The 15068-nt window shown below is 51.4% G+C and overlaps 1 long non-coding RNA gene across 1 annotated transcript; it reads left to right on the forward strand.

Moving 5' to 3' along the window:
* Window positions 1–1283: 1283 nt before the first annotated feature.
* Window positions 1284–4304, forward strand: LOC124901250 (uncharacterized). Its single transcript, XR_007059424.1, has 2 exons — window positions 1284–1346; window positions 1885–4304. It is a non-coding gene; the product is annotated as an uncharacterized LOC124901250 (long non-coding RNA).
* Window positions 4305–15068: the final 10764 nt, after the last annotated feature.

Here is a 15068-nt window from a genome sequence, read left to right on the forward strand (position 1 = left end):
AATCATCCTGGGCCATAGAGCTTTAACGTGCTGTCCAGCTAGCCCCTCCACTAGGGCAGCAAGGAGAAAGAAGCTTATTTATTTATTTATTTATTATTTATTTATTTTAAGTTAAAGCAACAGCAACTCAACTAAATGGCAAGGAAACAAATCCAGACAGTCCCCCACTTATGATGTTTCCATTTACAATTTTTCAGCTTTACGATGATATGAAAGTGACATGCATTCAGTAGAAACCATACTTCTATACCCATACAACCATTATGTTTTTCACTTTCAGTACAGTATTCAATAAATTACATGAGCTATTCAACACATTATTATAAAATAGGCTTTGTGTTAGATGATTTTGCCCAATTATAGACTAATGAAAGTTCTGAGCACACTTAAGGTAGGCCAGGCTAAGCTATGATGTTGGGTAAATTAGGGGCATTAAATACACTTTTTAATTTTAATATTTATTTATTTAGAGACAGGATCTCACTCTGTCACCCCGGCTGGAGTGCAGTGGCTCCATCTTGGCTCACTGCAACCTCCACCTCCCGGGCTCAAGTAATCCTCCCACCTCAGCCTCCTGAGTAGCTGGGACCACAGACACGCTCCACTATGCCCAGCTAATTTTTGTATTTTTAGTAGAGATGGGATTTCGCTATGTTGCCTAGGCTGGTCTTGAACTCCTGAGCTCAAGTGATCTGCCTGCCTCAGCCTCCCAAAGTGCTGGGATTACAGGCATGAGCCACCATGCCTGGCCTAAAAATGCTTTTGACTTACAGTGTTACCTACCAACAGTGAGTTTATTGGGACATAGCCCCATCGTAAGTCAAGGAACATCTGTAAATCAATTAAAAAATGGACACAGGACCTGAACAGACATTTCTCAAGAGAAGACATACAAATGGCCAATAGGTGTATGAGAAAATATTCATCATTAATCATCATGGAAATGAAAATTAAAACCATAATAAGATAGCACCTCACACCTGCTAGGATGGCTAAGGATGTGGAGAAAAGCAAACCCTTGCACATTTGGCGGGGATGTAAGTTAGTGCAGCCATTATGGAAAATAATGTGGAGGTTCTTCAAAAAATTAAAAATAGAACTCCCGTATGATCCAGCAATCCCACTACTGGGGATATGTCCAAAGGAAATGAAATCAGTATGTTGAAGAGATATCTGCACTCCCATGTTCATTGAAGCATTCTTCACAGAAGCCAAGACAGGGAGTATCCATCAATGGATGAATGGAAAAAGAAAATATGATGTATATACACAATGCAATACTATTCAGCCTCTAAAAAGAAGGAAATCCTGTTCTTTGCAACATGGGTGGACCTAGAGGACATTAGGTAAGTGAAATAAGCCAGGCACTGAAAGCCAAATACGGCATGATCCCGGTTACACGGGGAATCTAAAAAAAGTCAAACTCATAGAAACAAAGAATAGGATGGTGGTTACCAGGGGTTGGGGGTTGGGGGGCTTGGGGAGATGTTGATGAAAAGATTAAAATTGTCATTTAGACAGGAGGAAGAATTTCAAGACATCTATTGTACAACATGGTGACTACAATTAATATATTGTATACTAGAAAATTGCTAAGAGTAGATTTTAAGTATTCTCATCACAAAAAATGTATGTGAGGTAATGCACGGTTAATTAGCTTGGATCAGCCATTCTACATGTCAAAATATCAAAACTTGCTGTACACACAAATGCATACAATTTTGTCAATTAAAAAAAGTTACGGATTTTATCTAGACAAAAACAAGAGATATAAGAGAACAAACCAACACCAGCAGCCACTGTGACCATTTGAGCCCACCCGTGGGGGGACTGGTACTTTACACGTGTTGTATCTTTTCTGGCTCTCTCTCTCCAACCCTGCAGGGCAGGTGGCATCTCTACTTAACCATGAGGGAACAGAGGCTCAGCCAGCATGTTGAGACACCAGAATTCAAAAGCCCAGTATCCTCCCAGGACTCCATTAAAGCAGATGTGCAGAAGGCAGTACGGCCGGAGCACAACCAATGCCCCTGGGGGAGGCCCACGGGACCGTTAGGAAAATAAGACAGGCACAGGAAAGAGATGTCCAGCGTCTGAAGACAAAGCCACAATGAAAGCCACCATTCTGGGGTTGGGAAGGTAAAGAACTTCAAACCAGATAAATGAAGACTGCAGAAGAAAGAGGAAGAAATGGAAGTTGCTCTCTGACAGGACAACATGAATTTGGCAAGGGGTGGATTAGGCCGAGTGCTATCCACGGTGATGAAACACAGCAGCCGGTAGTCATGAAATATTTATGAATGGGGAGAGGATGCTGCATTCTGCAGTGCAGCACAGGGGAAACCGAAGTTTCAAGAATACTGTAATAGCAAAACCCTCCATTAATTATCGGAAGCAAGCTGTAATGCCAGTTCCTATGGCAACAGGGTCCCCAATGGATTTTGTGCTTTTTTTTTTTTAAGCTGCTCCCATTTACTATGGTACATTGCATTTATTTTCTATCGGAGGTTTTGTGCTTGTCTTCTGCAAATGAATTCATCCTGTCCTCACAGTGGCTGGTGTGGAGACCGACAGGCTGGGGCCTGGGGAAGGTTAAAGATTATGCAACTTTGAGCTAAATGCTCTGTAAGCACATTGATGACTGCTATGAGCACCTTCACTTCTGAGGGGAAAAGGAGGGGAGGGCAGGAAAGAGGTGTGGAAGGGAATAACTAGGGTGCATGGCTAATTAGAGGGCATCTATCCCAGCCCCCACACGCATGGTCTTTGGAATCCAGGCTTGCACCAGGGAAGAGTCCTTGAACCCAGCTGGGCTCTCCAACAACGTGCCTGCTGCAGCTGCAGTGGAAGCTGATAATTGCTCAGAAAGCTCAGACACAGAGTCCTCTGGGGTAAGGGTGCTGGAGAGAACAGTGGCTTGGTTCCCAGAGGAGCAGGCTGCCCCTCCCAGAGAAGCACTCCACCTGTAGGCCCAATCTCTCTGCACCGCCCCCCCCCCCCACATTGCTTATCAGCTCCCCCTCAGTGTGAAGTGGGAGTTTAATCTGGTGGCCCTTTGAATGCGGGTCTTCCAGGGGAGATGTTCTGTGTTTGCCTGGCCATGGGCTGCTGTTCACAGAAACATTCTGTCCCAGGCCACAGGAGCGCCTCAGAGCCACCCTGGGGTGTGGGCGAAGCGGTCAACAGCGGCTTCCTCCATCCTTCCCCGGATGAATGACTGACAAGTTGATGGCGGAGCACCCCGCCGCTCACTCAGGAAGAGGCTGCCTCCAGGTGGGGAGCTTGTACGTTTCCCTCTCAGGGCTGCAGCTGTGGCTTGGGAGGTGTCCTGTCTTTTTGGTGGCCTCATGAGGGCTGTGTGAGTCCTGATAAATGGCATAGGATGGGGAGTCCCCTTAATGGGGGACAGTACAGGTCTCCTGTCCGTGGGGCTATTCCAGGTTAAAAATAGATTCTACCGCTGCAGAATGATTATGCTGGCTCTACTGTGCTTTCTAAGTCACCAAAGGGACTCACAAGCATGTGTGAGTAGAACTGGGAGGATGCCAGAAGAGGGATGAAATAAAAATTGTGTACGTATATGTTTCTTTTTGTGGAATTCTACCTGGAGCCATAGGAGTACGACTTACCACTCAAGAGAAAGGCTGTGCCCAGAGCCAAGGAGGAGCTGTGGAGACGTTTCTCCCAAGTCATCCGTTCTCCCTATTTAGACTTCAACCTTAGGACGGACCTTCAGGCATCCAGGCCACCTACTGACCTCTCTGGCATGGGTGGGAACCGGGAGCTCGTTGGTAAGCAGGAGGATTCAGGACTATCGAGCGAACACCACTTCCTCCGTGGCACGCACCGCGCTGTGTCTTTGGGCTCATCATCTCATCACCTCTGCACAGGAAGATTATCTCCCCCACTTCGTGATGAGGAAACGGAGGCTCCAGGAGGCAAGTCATTGCCCAGGCCACACTGCTCCTCAGAGGCAGAGCTGAGATCAGAACTCACTTCTGTCTGACCCCAAAGCCTGTGCCAAACGCCTTGCTCGCTGGCCTCTTGCAGGGAAGGGCAGTGTCCCATTGCAGCCAGGCCCCAGCACAATACCAGGCTCTGCAGGCCCTGCATCACTTTCCCAAGGCCCAAAGGGGGCACACCACAAAATGCTGGGGGTGTAGGAAGAAGATATCAGAAATTCTAGTTATGATTTCCTCTTATCCTAGTAAAATACCAACTTCTATGTCTGTGTTGTGATGCATTTATGAGCTCAGCAGCACATTTATAGAATTTATAAATCAATAAACCTTCACATTGTGGAATACATGCTCAAGTTTATTTTACTGATATTGGAAGTGAGCAAAAAGACTAGAGTATCATGTTCAAGATAGTGACCAGGGACCACCCCAGGGCTCCTCGGGGACCAGAAAGGATGGCTTGCCGAGGGTGGCCTCCATCTTCCCTGCAGCATTGTTTGTTCCCCGGGATCCTTCCAGGCCCGCTCAACTCTGATCTCAGTCCCCTGTGCATTTCTGTAGGAAGCTCGCTTTTACTAGACCTGAGAGTTCAGGCAAGCCCTGTACCCTCGGGAGGCCGGCTGTGTGCTCTGCTGTTGTTTGCTCTCTATGGGGGCTCTCCAGTGGTCCAGCGGGCATTACAGGAGCACAGGGAGGACGAGGGGAATGGAGAAGGGGGATTGAAGGGCACATACACTTAGACCCCCACCGGCCACCTACAGAAGGCCTGAGGGGACAGCCCTTTCTGAAGTGATGCCTTCCTCTGTTGGGAAGCCAGGAGCCTCCCCTGGTGGGACCCATGAGGCCCTGGGGGTGGGGCAGGGTATGTGGGACGGGCACAGAGCCCCTTCAGTTTCCTTCTCAGGCCAGAATCATAACTGTCCATGCATTCCTTAAAAGCAGAGAGGGACCCTCTTCTTCCCCATCCATCAACAGCCTTCAGAGTCTAATTACATGCATAGAGCTTCAGTTCCCTTCTCTGTAAAATGGGGCTAATACTAATAAGACCTCTTCAGGGCAGTGTGGGAAGTCAATGAAACTCCATCTCTAAAATCACCCAGCAGATCATAGGATCTTGAAGTAAGCACAGTGTTTGGCATACAATAGGCACTCATCAATGCTGGTTCCTTTCACTCTCTGCCACTTGCTGCCTGTGCATGAGTTAACGTCCCAATGCCTCAGTTTCTTCATTTTCAAATGAAAGATGATGCCTATCCTCAACTTCAGATGAGATCAGGCACGTTCAGGGTGGTATGGCCATAGACCCCAACTTCAAAACAACAGGCACATCCATTCAATTCAGGTAGCACCCACCAACTGTACCATGGGCTTAAGAGGCAGGAAGAACATGGTGTGAGCCCACAGCTTCGGGTCCTGTTGCTCACTCTCTGCACATCCTTGTGCAGTTATCTGGGGTCACTTGCTGGCCTTTTTGAGTCTCAGTTTTCTTATTTGTAAGCTGGGGATAGTCATATCTCATTAGATTTTTAGGAGGACTAAATGGGACAATAAATATAAAATGCTCAGCACAAAACTTAGTCTATGGTCAGTGCTCAACAAATATCAGTCACTGATAATAGTAGAACCACCTGGAAATGACACTGTCATTTCCAGGCCCTCATGAGGATTCTCATTTACTCGTCATACTAGCCCTGCAAAATGGACACTATTGCTTCCGTTATACAGATGAGGAAACTGAGGCTCAGAGAAGCTAAGTAACTTCTTCAAAGTTGCCCAGGCTGGGCGCGGTGCCTCATGCCTGTAATCCCAGCACTTTGGGAGGCCAAGGCAGGCAGATTACTTGAGGGGAGGAGTTTGAGAACAGCCTGGCCAACATGACAAAACCCCCTCTCTACCAAAAATATAAAAATTAGCCAGGCGTGGTGGCACGTGCCTATAGTCCCAGCTACTCAGGAGGCTGAGGCAGGAGAATTGCTTGAACCAGGGAGGAAGGGGTTGAGCATGCCACTGCACTTCAGCCTGGGCAATAGAGCAAGACTCTGTCTCAAAAAAAAATAAAAAAATAAAAAAGTTGCCCAGTGACAGAGCCAAGTCTTGCTTTACAAGCCTAGGCTCGCTCTCCTACACTAACTACCTGGCCCCATGCTGCCCAGTCCTGGGCTGGCTGCAGGAGGCTGCTGCATTACCCACCTCAAACCACACAAGCACTGGCAGTAACAAGAGGCCGTAGAGAACCTAGAGTTCTCCAGTGGGTGTGGTTCTCTGGCTGCCGTGGGCTGCCAGGGATCCCTTAGATCACAGACTCCACAGTTCTTTCTTGCCACCTCCAGAAGTGAGGCTGCAGCCCCATGAGCCAGGCAGCAGGAAGGGAGGAAGTCTCGCTTCTTGCCAGACACATTGTTTAACTGCAACAGTCAGTTCTCCAAAAACTCTGCCGGAAGTCCACCCCGGAAACTCAAGGGAGGAAACTGACTGCCTTCTTGGGGTTTTCTTAACTGTGCTTCGTTTTTCTGCTCTGCAGGAAAGATGCAACCTGGGCCAGAGGCCCCTGGAGGCTGTGCCTGACCCCAGACAGATCAGACAAACCCGAGCAGCCATTAGCAGCTGCATGGACTCCTTTGCACTGTGGGGCTGCTCCTGGGGTGCAAGATGTCTTTGTGTGTGTATGGGGTTCGGGGGCTGGGCTGGCTGACTTGCAAAGGACACGCTGTGGCCCAGCCCTGGGCAGCATCCAGCCTGCTTAGGTGGCCTTCTGGGGGCTTGGCTAAAGACACTGAGGCCTTTCTCTGTTTCACCTCCTTGTGCCAACTTGGCTGTGTGTGAATAAAGGAATCACAAGCACACGCCTCTCTGAGTTCACACTTGTGTAAAGTTGGACTGAAGAGCTTGGTGAATCAAAGTTCAAGAAGGGTGACTTTGCCGGACATGGTGGCTCACTCCTGTAATCCCAACATTTTGGGAGGCTGACGGGGAGCAGATCACTTGAACCCAGGAGTTCAAGACCAGCTTGGACAACACAGAAAGACCCTGTCTCTACAAAAAAATTTAAAAATTAGCTAGGTGTGGTGAGGTGTGCCTGTATTTGCAGCTACTCTGGAGGCTGAGGTGGGAGGATTGCTTGAGACTGGGAGGTTGAGGCTGCAGTGAGCTGTGATCATGCCATTGCACTCCAGCTTGAGTGACAGAGCAGGACCCCATCTCTTAAATTTAAAAAAAGGAAGAGAAAGGAGAAGGAGGAGGAGCAGGAGAAGGAGAAGGAGGAGGAGGAGGAGGAGAAGGAGAAGGAGAGGAAGAAGAGGAAGAGGAAGAAGAAGAGGAAGAAGAAAAAGGAGGAGGAGGAAGAGGAGGGGGGAGGGGGGGGAGGAGGAGAAGGGAGGAGATGGAGAAGGAGGACACCTCAGAAGCCCTAGATAAAAACAGGGAGGAAGAGAACAAAAACATCAAAGCTGCTGAGTCTGGTGTCAAGAGCAGGGGCCTTAAAATCTGTGTGACTTTGTCCTTTGAGTTAACCTCTCTCATCCTCAACTTCTTGTTTGTGAAGTGGGAATAAGATTTTTTTGTGAGTTTGTTCTGAGACTCATAAGTAACGTACATAAAGCTGGTGGCTCCTGGTCTGTCTTATCATCCGGGGTTAAGCTTTGAAGTGGGCACAGGTGCTGGCAGCTGTGGAATGGGGGGAGGTTGCAGGTGGGTCCCCTGGTCACAGAGAGCTCATCACTGCCAGAGCTCAGGAGCCCCCTCACTGGAGAGGCCTCACTGCCAGGGTTCAGAGCTCCCTCACTGGAGAGGGACTTCCTGAGTGTTGCAAGCTACATGGACAGACCATGTGAGATCAAGCGTCCAGGCCCCTGGGCCAAGCAAATCTTGGGCCAAGATTGTGTGGCTTTAGGGGATGTTATGGAGCCTCTCTGGGCGTCAGCTCCTCCTCTGTAAACTGGGGACTGTGGTGGCGATAATGGTACCCACATATACAGAGACTGACAAGTACTCATGAAACAGAGCTAGGGGTGTATGTCTGTCTCACATCAAAGGGCTTTCACACTGCTCTGATTTTTAATAATAATTATTATATCAGTATATATTAATATTTAATTATATTATTATGTTAATATATAATAATTATATATTAATTATCTTATATTAATTATTAAAATATAATAATAATAATTATTAACAGCTCTGGGAGAAGGTTATCATGAATTTTTTTTGGAGGGAGGTCAGATGACAGCTCGTCAAGGTAACAGAGTGCAAGAGAAGAGCCTGCCTTGGTTGGGGGTGGTCAGGGCCTGGGCACCCCAGAGAGACACAGGGGAGCCTGGGGGAGGACTGAGACCCCTTCTCTTGCTTAATCAACTTTTTCAAGTCAACAATGACATGTGTGCCAAGCTCTGACCCCTGATCGCAGCTTCCCCTGAGAGGGGCCTCTGTGGGGATGTCTCGCAAGGCCAGGGAGATCTGGAAACACATCCCTTCCACAGGCTACATCCATCGTCAAAAGGAGACCTCGAGGGCCCACCTGCCTGTCCTGCCTGCCCCTGTCCCCAGCCCAGAGAAGCAAGCTGAGCCACCTGCCTGTGCTCCCAAAAAGACACCCCATCTGTCCCAGATTGATTTGCACAGAGTAAGTTACCTGTGGGGCATGTGCTGGCCAGAGGCCAAGTGGGCTCATCTATCTTCCCAGGGCAGCGTTTTAGAACGGGGAGTGGAAATAGTGTCTAGGTTGTAATGAATTTTTGGAAGAGGGGAGGGGGTGGAGAACAGAGGAGGAGGGGGGCAGGGAGCGGGACAGAGGAGTCACCCGAGGCTTCTCCTTTGCGGCATTTAATGGGAAAATGAGATATTTCCCAGGCAATTGCTTTTAAGTGACTATTGAAATTAATGCCTCGTTCCAGCAGCACATCTTTGTTAGAACATTAGCCTCTCAGAGGGAGCAAGAAAATGAGAAGGGAAGAAAAAAAAAAAACCTACCTGAAATGAGCCCAGCAGAGAAGGCTGAGGACAGAGGACTTGGGGTCATGGAGTGCTTGGGGGTGAGGTGACTCTGGGATCATGCGAGGGGCCTAAGCGCCGAGGAGCCTCGGTGGCCTGGGGAGACTGTCCCGCCTGAGGGCCACCCTCCTCTGCCACCTGGGGCCGGGATATGGTTGCTGAGTGACAGGGTGACTTGGGGTCCACTGGACGGGCTCTGCCGTGGGCCCTGCTTGCCCTGTGGGCTCTCTGGCCTTCTGAGGCAGCAGGGAGGCTCTGGGCCCACACGTGGTCTCCTACAGGCTTTGGGGCCGCATTCCCAGTTTCTCGATTTCCCCGACATTGGGGGTTCACTGAGATGTTAGGGACCCCTGTAGTGATAATATCCGCTGTGACTTATGAGCACTCCCTACCTGTCAGGCACAGTCCCGGGAGGAGCAGCCTGGGTTCCTGCTGGGGAGAACCCCTTGAGCCAGCCTGAAGGCTGTGACCTTCCCAGGTCTTAAGGGTGGGGATTTCTCAGAGCTGAGACGCATGCCTTGCTTCACTTGAGGCCTGGAATGGCTTCTGTTTGTTCTTCGATTTGTGTGGGGGTGGGGGTTGTAGTTTCCTTTTTTTTTTTTTGCTTTGTTTCTGTGCATGTATAGAATTGAGCCAAATGGAATAGGTGCTTTAAACTCTGAATGCATTTTGCCATTGCTTTTTTTTTTTTTTAATTGATCATTCTTGGGTGTTTCTCGCAGAGGGGGATTTGGCAGGGTCATAGGACAATAGTGGAGGGAAGGTCAGCAGATAAACAAGTGAACAAAGGTCTCTGGTTTTCCTAGGCAGAGGACCCTGCGGCCTTCCGCAGTGTTTGTGTCCCTGGGTACTTGAGATTAGGGAGTGGTGATGACTCTTAACAAGCATGCTGCCTTCAAGCATCTGTTTAACAAAGCACATCTTGCACCACCCTTAATCCATTCAACCCTGAGTGGACACAGCACATGTTTCAGAGAGCACAGGGTTGGGGGTAAGGTCACAGATCAACAGGATCCCAAGGCAGAAGAATTTTTCTTAGTACAGAACAAAATGAAAAGTCTCCCATGTCTACCTCTTTCTACACAGACACGGCAACCATCCGATTTCTCAATCTTTTCCCCACCTTTCCCCCCTTTCTATTCCACAAAACCGCCATTGTCATCATGGCCCGTTCTCAATGAGCGGTTGAGTACACCTCCCAGACGGGGTGGTGGCCGGGCAGAGGGGCTCCTCACTTCCCAGTAGGGGCAGCCGGGCAGAGGCGCCCCTCACCTCCCGGACGGGGCGGCTGGCCGGGCGGGGGGCTGACCCCCCCACCTCCCTCCCAGACTGGGCGGCTGGCCGGGCAGAGGGGCTCCTCACTTCCCAGTAGGGGCGGCCGGGCAGAGGGGCTCCTCACTTCCCAGTAGGGGCGGCCGGGCAGAGGCGCCCCTCACCTCCCGGACGGGGTGGCTGGCCGGGTGGGGGGCTGACCCCCCCACCTCCCTCCCGGACGGGGCGGCTGACCCCCCCACCTCCCTCCCAGATGGGGCGGCTGACCCCCCCACCTCCCTCCCGGACGGGGCGGCTGGCTGGGCAGAGGGGCTCCTCACTTCCCAGTAGGGGCGGCCGGGCAGAGGCGCCCCTCACCTCCCGGACGGGGCGGCTGGCCGGGCGGGGGGCTGACCACCCCACCTCCCTCCCGGACGGGGCGGCTGCCGGGCGGAGACGCTCCCCACTTCTCAGACGGGGCGGTTGCCAGGCAGAGGGTCTCCTCACTTCTCAGACGGGGCGGCCGGGCAGAGACGCTCCTCACATCCCAGACGGGGCGGCGGGGCAGAGGCGCTCCTCACATCCCAGACGGGGCGGCGGGGCAGAGGCGCTCCCCACATCCCAGATGATGGGCGGCCGGGCAGAGACACTCCTCACTTCCCAGATGGGATGGCGGCCGGGCAGAGACGCTCCTCACTTTCCAGACTGGGCAGCCAGGCAGAGGGGCTCCTCACATCCCAGACGATGGGCGGCCAGGCAGAGACGCTCCTCACTTCCCAGACGGGGTGGCGGCCGGGCAGAGGCTGCACTCTCCGCACTTTGGGGGGCCAAGGCAGGCGGCTGGGAGGTGGAGGTTGTAGCGAGCCGAGATCACGCCACTGCACTCCAGCCTGGGCAGCATTGAGCACTGAGTGAACGCGACTCCATCTGCCATCCCGGCACCCCGGGAGGCCGAGGCTGGCAGATCACTCGCAGTTAGGAGCTGCAGACCAGCCCCGCCAACACAGCGAAACCCCGTCTCCACCAAAAAAATACGAAAACCAGTCAGGCGTGGCGGCGCTCGCCCGCAATCGCAGGCACTTGGCAGGCTGAGGCAGGAGAATAAGGCAGGGAGGTTGCAGTGAGCCGAGATGGCAGCAGTACAGTCCAGCTTCGGCTCGGCATCAGAGGGAGACCGTGGAAAGAGAGGGAGAGGGAGACCGTGGGGAGAGGGAGAGGGAGAGGGAGAGGGAGAGGGAGAGGGAGAGCTTGCCATTGCTTTTAAAAAAGCTTGTTCTCATTTAAACTCACAGCATCAGTGAATGAGAGTGTTTATCTCACGATATCCTCACCAGCTTTATATATTATGCTTTTCAAATTTGTGCCAATTTTAGAGTGGGAAAATGGTTGTGAATGTGAATTTATAAAAGAAATAATTGTTGGTTGTTGTGAAAAATAAATATTTGTGTTGGTTTCCTAAAAACTAGAGTTGGATCCCTAAGAATACCCAACTTTGTCAAACAACAGCAGGCAGCCAGGTGTGGTGGTTCACACCTGTAATCCCAACACTTTGGGAGGCTGAGGCAGGTGGATCACTTGAGGTCAGGAGTTCGAGACCAGCCTGGCCAACATGGTGAAACCCCATCTCTACTAAAATACAAAAATTAGCCAGGGTTGGTGGCGGGTGCCTGTGATCCCAGCTACTCAGGAGGCTGAGGCAGGAGAATTGCTTGAACCCGGGAGGCAGAGGTTGCAGTGAGCTGAGATCACGCCATTGCACTCCAGCCTGGACAAACAGAATAAGGCTCTTGTCTCAAAACAAAACAAAACAACAAAAAACAACAACAACAGCAGCCACCTCTCCTTGAGCAGCCTTGAATGTCTATTCTCCTGTAAACTATGGTGAGGAAAATCCTCTCGGAATTTGCTGCCGTCCTCCCCTCTAGGGCTGGGACACAGGATGAGTGCTCCAGGCTGGATTTAATAGAGACACAATCGGATACCTGCGACATGGACTCCAGCCGGAGGCTAGCACACTCTGTCCTGCCTTGGAAACTCTAGAGCTAGAGTTTGGGTGTGAAGTCAGCACAGTTGACACCGTTGTCAGGGGAGGCGTTGGTTGGCTGTGATTCTGGGCCACTGGGGCCACTTGGGAAGGTTGGCTTTGCTATGCTGCAGTAGGAACTTCTTGGACACGTAGTCCCCAAGGTCTGGATATTCCCTTGCTGGGCTGCGTGCATCCAGGATGAGCTAAACCCTGGTCCCACCTGCTCTGACCATAGCCCTCTCTGGAGCCTCTTCCAAGCCTCAGTGCTACTGGGTGGAATTGACAGAGAGACCCTTTTAGGCTTGAGGAAAAGGACAGTCACTGGACAAGCAGAGCTGTGGAAAACAGGGACAAGGCTGGGCCAGGCAAAGCCATCTACTCGGGAGAAAGCGGGAGAAGGCAGAAGAAGCTTGGATCAGGTGGGACTCCAGAGGGGCTTGGACTACAAGGTCCCAGAGCTCCCCTGATTCCAGGATTCTGCAAAGAGTGAACCAAGAACAACCTAGAGCAAAGGTCTCTGAATCAAAAAAGCGACAGCATCTCAGGCACAGAGGTGGGCATGGAGGGAACAGGTTGTTATGCCCCTGTGTGACCCCAGGCATGTCACTTAACCTCTCTGGGCCTAACTTCTTCACCTAGAAAATGATGGCTAGGGCAAACTCTGAGGAATGATTTTATTCTGGGATTTGTGCATGCAGCCAGGTCTATGTGAGCCATAAAGATAACTCCTCCCTCTCTGCATCTTCCAAACCTACCAAAGAAGAACCGAGGCTGACAGAATAGAAACGGGGACGCTGAGGAGGTGGGACTGGAGGCGTCCTCGTTCCTTTCTTGGTGTGGCCTGAGCTCCCTCTGCCTCCAGATAGGCCACTCCTTGGGCTTCCATTTGCACATCTTACCCCTTTGATGATAGAACATGCCCCACCTGCTCGCAGGTTTGACGAGAGGCAAACATTTGGTTCCATTTATCGGGGTAGCTCAGGGCCACTGCTTCCTAGGTATGATTTCACTTAGTCCTTCACACAAACCGTGAGGTTGACATCATGTTCACCCCCATAACACAGATGAGAAAACCAAGGGTTAGAGGACAGGCAGTGAGGGGCAGGCAAAGCCAGGGCTCAGATCTGTTCAGGCTTCAGAGCCTGGCCTCTCTCTCACAAATAGAATATTTTCTTCTAAAAGTCATAGCACTGTCTTTGGGGTGGGGTGGGGGCACGGATTTTCTTTTTGAAAAAGATCTAGAGCTCTCATATGGAAATGGGTCCACAGGGGCAAGGAGCCTGGCCAGGAGTTGGAACACTGATGGATGGACACTTTTGGAAGGTGCTGGGAATGGGCACACTGTCAAAGTCACCGGCCACTGCTCTTACCTGTATATGGTATTGAGTACTGGTCCATGTACCCAGCCAATTACCTCACAAGTCCGCAAGAGTGGGCACATGCCTGGAGAATGAGGATGGGGCGGGGAGGGTGAGGAGGGAAAATTGGGGCATAATGCAGGCTCCTACCTGGGGGATTGGATATTGATTGGGAACTCCCTGGGCAAGTGAGGCAGGTAAGGGCAGATGAGGCAGGTAAGACTAGGTGAGGGCAGGTGAGGACAGATGAGGCTAGGTGAGACCAGGTGAGGACAGGTGAGACAGGTGAGGGCAGATGAGGTTAGGTGAGACTAGGTGGGGGCAGGTGACGGCAATGAGACTGGGTGAGGGCAGGTGAGAGCAGATGAGGCTAGGTGAGGGCAGCTGAGGGCATATGAGGCTAGGTGAGACTGGGTGAGGGCAGGTGAGGCGAGGTGAAGGCAGGTGGGGCAGGTGAGGCAGGTGAGGACAAACGAGACTGGCTGAGAGCAGGTGAAGCAGGTGAGGTCAGGTGAAACTGAATGAGGGCAGGTGAGGCAGGTGAGGGCGGAAAGGTAAGGACCTGGGCTTTACTCGAGATGCAGAAAGGCAAGGACAACCCTGAAGAGCGAATGGAGACTTGCTGAGCCTAAGGATATCCAACCACATGCTTTCCCCAGAGTTCCTTTGTTTCCTGCTCCAGCCTCAGACGACGCTCCTCCTCCCACCCAACCTGCCTCCGCAGACACAAAGGTGCCATGTGCTTTAGGACTAGCCGGACACTGTGGCTGAAGAGAAACCTGGGCTCTGACCTGAAGAGAATCTTCACAGTGAAGGGACTAGAAAATAGAGTGAAGATGACAGCTGAGGGGAGCAGGTACGTGGGCCCTGCTTGGGGCTCATGGGAAGACCGGAGGGAATTACATGGGATTCCAGCTCCAGAAGGACATGAGCCAGCGTGTGACCCTGCTGTGACCACTCTGAATACCACAAGTGTCCACAGAGGCTGCACTGTGGCTCCTTACCGATGTGACGCCTGCTGTCACGGCCTCAGTTGTTCCACATGCCAAGCTTCCAGGAGAGACGACAGATTTACTCAGGTTCCAATGATACATTGAGCAAAGCAGGAAGATGAGCTGAACACCACTGCTGCTGTCAGAGATGCCAGGAGAAGCCAGCAATTTCTGCCTCTCCCCCGGAAGGACCTTGGGCGTCCTGATACCCGGTGGTAGTCAGCCACCAACCAGCGCAGCTCTTCAGGACACTACTAGAAAAGTGTCCCCTTGCCTCCCGGCTACTGCTGCCCAAACAGAAGCTGAGTTTCTGTCTACTTTTCTGCAAATCACTTGCCAGCAACTAGGGTGTTCTATCCTTTAGAATTCATCATCCTTGAAGGGTCCTTTCATAGATCTCTTCAGCCTTCCCCGTGGAAACAGATCAGCAGACACTCTTGAAACCACAACCTGTAGTCATCCATCCAGGGCTTAGAGGGATTCCTTGATTTCA

The sequence above is a fragment of the Homo sapiens genome, chromosome 6 (assembly GCF_000001405.40).
Source record: "Homo sapiens chromosome 6, GRCh38.p14 Primary Assembly".
NCBI classification, from domain to species: Eukaryota; Metazoa; Chordata; class Mammalia; order Primates; family Hominidae; genus Homo; species Homo sapiens.